We start from the raw sequence: 6869 nt of genomic DNA on the forward strand, positions 1-6869 counted from the left end.
AAAAACACAAAAATTAGCTGGATGTGTGGTACATGCCTGTGGTCCCAGCTACTAGGAAGACTGAGGCAGGAGGACTGATTGAGCCCAGGAGGTCGAAGCTGCAGTGAGCCACGATCATGCCATTGCACTCAGCCTGGGTGACAGAGCAAGACCCTGTTTCAAAAAATAAAAATTATAAAAGGAAAGGAAAGGAAGAAAGAAAAGTATTGGGGAGGGATAGGTTCTATTGGGAAGGGACAATGAACACCACAGCCATAAATTCTGATTAATTTTGTAATAATACCTCTGACATTCACAATCTTATTGTAACTTGGAGTAACGCTGGAATTATTGGTAGAGTTCGATAAAACCTATAGTAACACAGATGAGCAAGTGTACTAGAAAACTGAATTAAACTTTTCTCAGGGTGTGATACTGATGGAAAATAATTGACCTGAAGAGGACTTGCAGTTAATTAATAATCTATTAATAATTGTTTTAAATCATTTGACTCAAACTTATAAAGTCCAAATTATAGTAGCTGATAGTGGCATAAGAACTGCTACACTCATGCAAAAATATGAAACTTATGTCCAAGAATCTTGGTCTGCTTCACCTCTCCCATCCTTGTCGCTACCACCTTGGGCTAAGAGGCAGTGAGTGTTTATTTGGACTATTGCTGGTGTCTTCTGATGGGTCTCCCAGCCTCCATTCTTACTCACACACGTCCCCTTCAATCCATTTTTGTAGCCAGATAATCTTTCTCAGACTGCAAATCTAATTATGTTACTCTTTCTTTGATAACCACCTCCTCCCCCCTCCCCCCAAAAAAATTAATGTTCTCCCCCTTGGTGAGAGTAGTGAAAATGAAAACACCTGACACAGCCTGCTTGGTCTGAACCCTATCTACTTTTCCACTTCCCCTTTGCTCTCCACACCAACCACACCAGCCTTATGCCAGTTCCCCAGGTTTATTATGCACCCTTTGGTCATAGAACCTGCATCCTTACCAGGTCAAAGCCCCAGATATACTTTCATAGTTCCACATGCTTCTCCTTTGTTGCAAGAACAGCTATTACATTTATATTGATCATTGCAAATTATTGACTTGTCTTCCTCATTAGACTGAAATCAGGAACCATGATAATGCTTTGCTTATTCCCATCTTCCCAGCCCCTGCCTACCATGAAATCAAGCACACGACAGTGCTCAATCTACACTGGAATCCAACAGTTCTGCTTGATATGGTTTGGCTTTGTGTCCCCACCCAAATCTCATGTTGAATCGTAATTCCGAACGTTGGGGGAGGGATAGGGTAGAAGGTGATTGGATCATGGGGGCAGATTTCCCTCTTGCTGTTCTTGTGATAGTGAGTTCTCGTGAAATCTGATGGTTTCAAAGTGTGTTGCACTTCCCCCTTTGCTGTCTGTCTCTCCTAGTCACCCATGGTAAGATGTGCTTACTTCCTCTTCGCCTTCTGCCATGATTGTAAGTTTCCTGAGGCCTCCAGGTCATGCTTCCTGTTAAGCCTGCAGAACTGTGAGTCAATTAAACCTCTTTTCTTCATAAATGACTGAGTCTCAGGTAGTCCTTTATAGCAGTGTGAGAATAGACTAATATACTGCTCCTAGATGTGTACCTAATAGACATGAAAACTTGTGTCCATCAAAATACGTATTAAAGAATGCTCATGCAATAGTCCTGGTTTACCCTAGGGGGATAATGTGCCCAGGCCATGCTTGAAACCATGGATGGTACTCTATATATATACCATTTTTTCATATATATATATATCTCCATACCTATGATAAAGCTTAATTTACAAATTAACACAGTAAGAGATTAATAAAATAGAACAATTATAAAAACATACTGCAATAAAATTTATGTGAATCTGATCTCTTTGTCTAAAATAATATTTTATTGTGCTGTACTACGGGTAACTGAAATCTCACAATGTGAAACTGCAGATAAGTGGGGACTTACTTGGGTAGTTTTATTCTGAACAGCCAGAACCTGGAAACAATAATATTATCAACAGGAGAATGGACACATACATTGTGGTCTAGTCATACAATGGAATACAACACAGCAGTGAAAAAGAACATCTCATTATGACTGCAAAAAAAAAAAAAAAGCCTGAATCTTACAGACATATTGTTGAGTAAAAAAGCCAGACACAAAATAGTACATTCTGTATTATTCCACTTATATGAAGTTTAGAAACAGTGGAGGGTAGGGAAAGGTCACCGCTTAGTGAAGGCTAATAGTAACAACTATTTATATGGAACATTTACAAAATCACCAGCACTGTGCAGAGAATTTGACATGATCCTAACTAAGTCACCTCCCCAGAGCTTACCCTGGATTTTTTTATTATCCCCATTTTTTAGATTAAGAACTAAGGCTGTGAGCAGGGAAATACCTTGCCCAAGGCTACATTGCTGGTAAGTGCAACTCTGCACAATCTCACGGTATCCTGACAATTACTGTTAGTCATTTCTTACAGTGCTGCACAAGACACGTCTGTCATTGTTTTGCCAGAGGACTGTGTGAGATAAGATGCTGAGCATTCCCCCACAAGGCCTAAGACATAGTAATGACTCAATAAATATCATCTATTATGATCAGTCCCATGAAAATAAAAATAGAGGCTCCACGAGGTGGCTCAAGGCCATATAGCTAAGTGGCATTGCATTTGTGCAGTTTTGATTGTGAGTTCTATTGTTCAAATTGATTCTAAGTGACTTACATAGTTACTCTAAATGCAGCACCACGCTATGATTTTCATGGGTGTTGAGTATTTTTGCCTGCCTGAGCCCCTTCTTTCATAAGCCAAATATTAAAAAGCATATTTTATGACTGCCTTGGGACAGGCAAATGTAACCCAGGCTGGATTATATTCACCCTACTTTCTGATTTTAAAAGAAACTAAACATTTTCATAGGCCCTTAAGGTGCCATGGGCCCTAGGCATTCTGCCTCCTGTGCCTAACAGGGAAGTAGGCCCTGCCTCAATGCAGATGAGATTGTCACGTGCTGGGTGAGGATGGTGGGTTTCTTCTGGGGAGTGGAAGAGGCTGTGGTTGAAAAAGACAACTGAAGATGAATTCTTTGTTGATGAGATTATATTTGTCTTGTTCTTTTTTAAAAAATAGCCATACATAAATGATTTAGCCAAAGGCATGAAATGTCATTTGGGTTCAAGTGATTGTGAAGCGTTTTTGATTTAACAAAAAATCATAAAATGATCCAGAAAAAATAGGAGACTGCAATTCATAGAAATGCTATTTTGTGCGATTTTATCTGATTTGGAATGGGGTTGAGGAGAAGTAATTGATGAAATGTTATGAAATGCTAGAATTTAAATAGGCCTGATGTAAATAATGAAGCATGCTTTCAGGCTTTCAAAATACACAATTCTAGTCTCAGTTTAAAAAGTGGTCAGTTGGAGCCAATCTAAACATATATAGAGACTGATAGCAGCAACCATGGCATAGAATACATGTTTCCTTCAAAGTTTTAAATTACCTGTTTGCCTAGAGTCTGAACCCTGCTAGAAGGCCTTTGAAAAAGCATTGAAGGGGGAGAAAAATCCCTCAAACAACTTACATAGTATTTGTCCATGGGATTTGAATGGCTCTTAGCTAGTAACTGGTGTTTGCAATCTTTTATGGAGGTCTTTAAAAGCAAACAAACACATAAGAACAGGGGACTGAAGTAGTATACTGAACACATTCTGAATGTTATGGAGGACACAACAGGATACTTACACATCTTCATTTTGTGCACTTAACCATGACTGCGTGCTGCACAAGACAATGGGTAAGTGTAACATATGAGTTAATTTTGGCATTATGGCTGCTATTAATGCAAAACCAGGACAACACAAAGACAATATCACACCTTTCCATTCTGTCAAGAATGGTGGGTGCAAGTGCTCTCAGGACCCAGTAATAGAAGAGCAGATGAATGTAAAACCAACAGGAAAGCCATCATCAGTGCAAAGAAAATGGGTGCAGAGATAATTTTTTTTTTTTTTTTGAGATGGAGTCTCACTCTGTCACCCAGCTGGAGTGCAGTGGCGTGATCTTGGCTGACTGCAGCCTCCGACTCCCTGGTTCAAGTGATTCTCCTGCCTCAACCTCCTGAGTAGCTGGGATTACAGGTGTGTGCCATCATGCCCAGCTAATTTTTGTATTTTTAGTAGAGATGGAATTTCACCGTGTTGGCCAGAATGGTTTTGATCTCCTGACCTCGTGATCCAGCCTGCCTCGGCCTCCCAAAGTGCTGGGATTATAGGTGTGAGCCACCGTTCCCAGCCCAAATGAGATAATCTTACTCTGACCCCAGGTGTGTTCAGACCAGAAGAGCTACGGCTGGATCTCACCCAGATGTCTCTGATGACTGTGGGGCTCACATCAGTGAATGAGGCAGGGTGGGCTGGTCACAGCTATCTTGCTTAGAGGGAGCAGAACTCTCTAGGTGACCACAGTTTTATACCCACCCTGATTGTCTCAACAATGAAGTCGCTGTGGCTTTTATGGAAGAGCAATTTCTAGGTTGTCTTTCATTTTATGTTGATATCATGGTTTTTAGAGTACTTGGCAGTGGGGGAGACGGTGATGACAGGCAAAGATGTGTCGTACAAGAGGAGGAAACAGCCCTGTGGCTTCAGCCAGCTGTTGCCATGGTGGAATGTGGGCAAGACTGGCCAAGCTTTCTGACTGTCCAAGAAAAGCCAGTAATCTGAAATTCTTTTGTGTGAAATCTCCCAATTTCTAAATGTTGCTGAATCATTCAAAGATTTAAAAGACATTAAGAAGAACATGACAATGAGGAAAAAATGACAAACATCAGCAAACCCCAGTTCCCAGACTGCCAATTCATAACCCAGTTCACAGACCACCAACTCACAGGGGAATCTGAGCCTTTGTAGAAACCAGTGAGGGTTGAACAAAGCCCTTTAATAAATAGTAAAAAGGAAAATCTCATCTTTCCTTTGGAATTTTAACCAAACAACACTATTTAACAATGTGTTCTCTATCTTCAACCTATAGGAAGAAACCCTTTCCTTAACCTACACAAAAAGTAAATAAATCTACGGCAAGGATTTTTTTTTTTTTTTTTTTTTACAACATCAATGAATGGTTTAAATGTGATTTTTTTAGTTTATGTCTTTCCCAGTTGCTATCATGGGTTAAAAGAGATTGCAGAATATTGCACAAAAGGAAAGAAATATGAAGTTGCTTCAAAAGATGAAAAAACAGTAATGGGCAGATTTAAAAAAAAATTGTCAAGAAAATATCCAAACAAACTTAAATGTCACCAGAGAGTTTGCCAATAAGTCCATAAAGCAAAAAGATTATTAACCTCAAGACAGAGCTACTGTTGGGATCACAGGAAAACCATCAGCTGTGCACCATTTTTATTGACACTTCAGGGTAAACTAATAAAACTCCCCATTTCAATTAAATTTTGGAAACTCATGTTCCCTTTTTCTTAAATGCTGTAAACCAGCTTATAACCACACAGCCCCTTTTTTCTAAAATCTCCTCTTGGCTGAGGACGTGGAGCCAATGGCACATTCTAGCATTTTTCTTACTATGGCTTTCCTGGACACAGGCGGCTATAAGACGTGATGTTAATGAAAGGGGGAATTGTAACTATATGGTTTTCATTTTTGCAGGTGAGCTTGTTGAGCCATTTTGAAATCAAGTGCTCCTTTAGGGTGTGCTTAGTGTTCCTTTTCAGGGGTTCCTGGAATCATGTCCGAGCTGAAACAGATCTTGGGGAATTTTATTACAGATTTTACAGACTGGAGAATTGAGGCCCAGAATGTCTAACCCTGCCAGAGCCAAAGAGCAAGAAGGAGTCAACTTCAATTCCATGTCTTTGGTAGGCATCCTTCTAAATTGACTCCCACTTACCCCTGCCTCCTGGTATTCATGGCTCTGTGTAGTCTTCTTCCTTTGAACGTGGGCTGGACCTAGTGACATGCTTCTGATGAATGGAACACAGCAGAAGTGATGGATGTCACTTCTGTGTAAGTCACAAAAGACTGTGGCTGCCATCATGCTTGCCTTCGCTTTTTCTGACACACATACTCTCTCTCTCTCTCTGGCTCTTCTCACATGCTTGCTCTAATAAAGCCAGCTGGAGAGGCCCATGGGACAAGGAACTGAGGGAGGCCATCCACCATTGCAATGAAGGAACAGAGGCCCTCAGCCCAGTCACCCTGGAGGGACTGAATTCCAACAACAACTATGAGTGAGCCCAGAATTGGAGCCTTCAGATGAGACCACAACCCTGGCTAACACCTTGATTGCAGCTTTGTGAGAGATCCTAAGCCAGAGGCCCCCAGCTAAGTGATACATGGATTTCTGACCCACAGAAACTGTAAGTTACTCTATTTCCATAGTTTGGGGAAATTTGATACACAGCAATAGATAGCTACCACGATGTCCAGGGCTCTTGACTCTAAGGCCGGCATTCTTTGTTTCATTGGCTGCCTTTATATTCTTTGTAGATATCTGCATCCTATTAGTGATCACTGGCAGAACAATGTACTAGTTAATGTCCAGGATATAAAGATAAGAGTGGCAGAGTCCTTAGTATCACTGCATTTTGCTTTAGGACTAGAACTATATTTTATTTTTATTTATATATATATATATATATATATATATATATTTATTTAAGTTCTAGGGTACACATGCACAACGTGCAGGTTTGTTACATATGTATACATGTGCCATGTTGGTGTGCTGCACCCATTAACTCGTCATTTACATTAGGTATATCTCCTAATGCTATCCCTCCCCTCTCCCCCCACCCCACAACAGGCCCCGGTGTGTGATGTTCCCCTTCCTGTGTCCAAGTGTTCTCATT

At 40.5% G+C, this 6869-nt stretch overlaps 1 long non-coding RNA gene across 1 annotated transcript, besides 1 other annotated feature; it reads left to right on the forward strand.

Annotated features, from left to right (window-relative positions):
• Positions 891-940: a silencer, noted in NCBI's record as "silent region_13055". NCBI's record gives its function as "represses an Ori minimal core promoter by ATAC-STARR-seq in GM12878 lymphoblastoid cells {active_cell/tissue: GM12878}" and the evidence as "EXISTENCE:reporter gene assay evidence [ECO:0000049][PMID:35858748]".
• Positions 2371-6377, forward strand: LOC107985385 (uncharacterized). Its single transcript, XR_001754721.2, has 3 exons — positions 2371-2426; positions 5787-5876; positions 6131-6377. It is a non-coding gene; the product is annotated as an uncharacterized LOC107985385 (long non-coding RNA).
• Positions 6378-6869: the final 492 nt, after the last annotated feature.

This window comes from Homo sapiens, chromosome 20 (genome assembly GCF_000001405.40).
Source record: "Homo sapiens chromosome 20, GRCh38.p14 Primary Assembly".
In the NCBI taxonomy this organism is placed as follows: domain Eukaryota; kingdom Metazoa; phylum Chordata; class Mammalia; order Primates; family Hominidae; genus Homo; species Homo sapiens.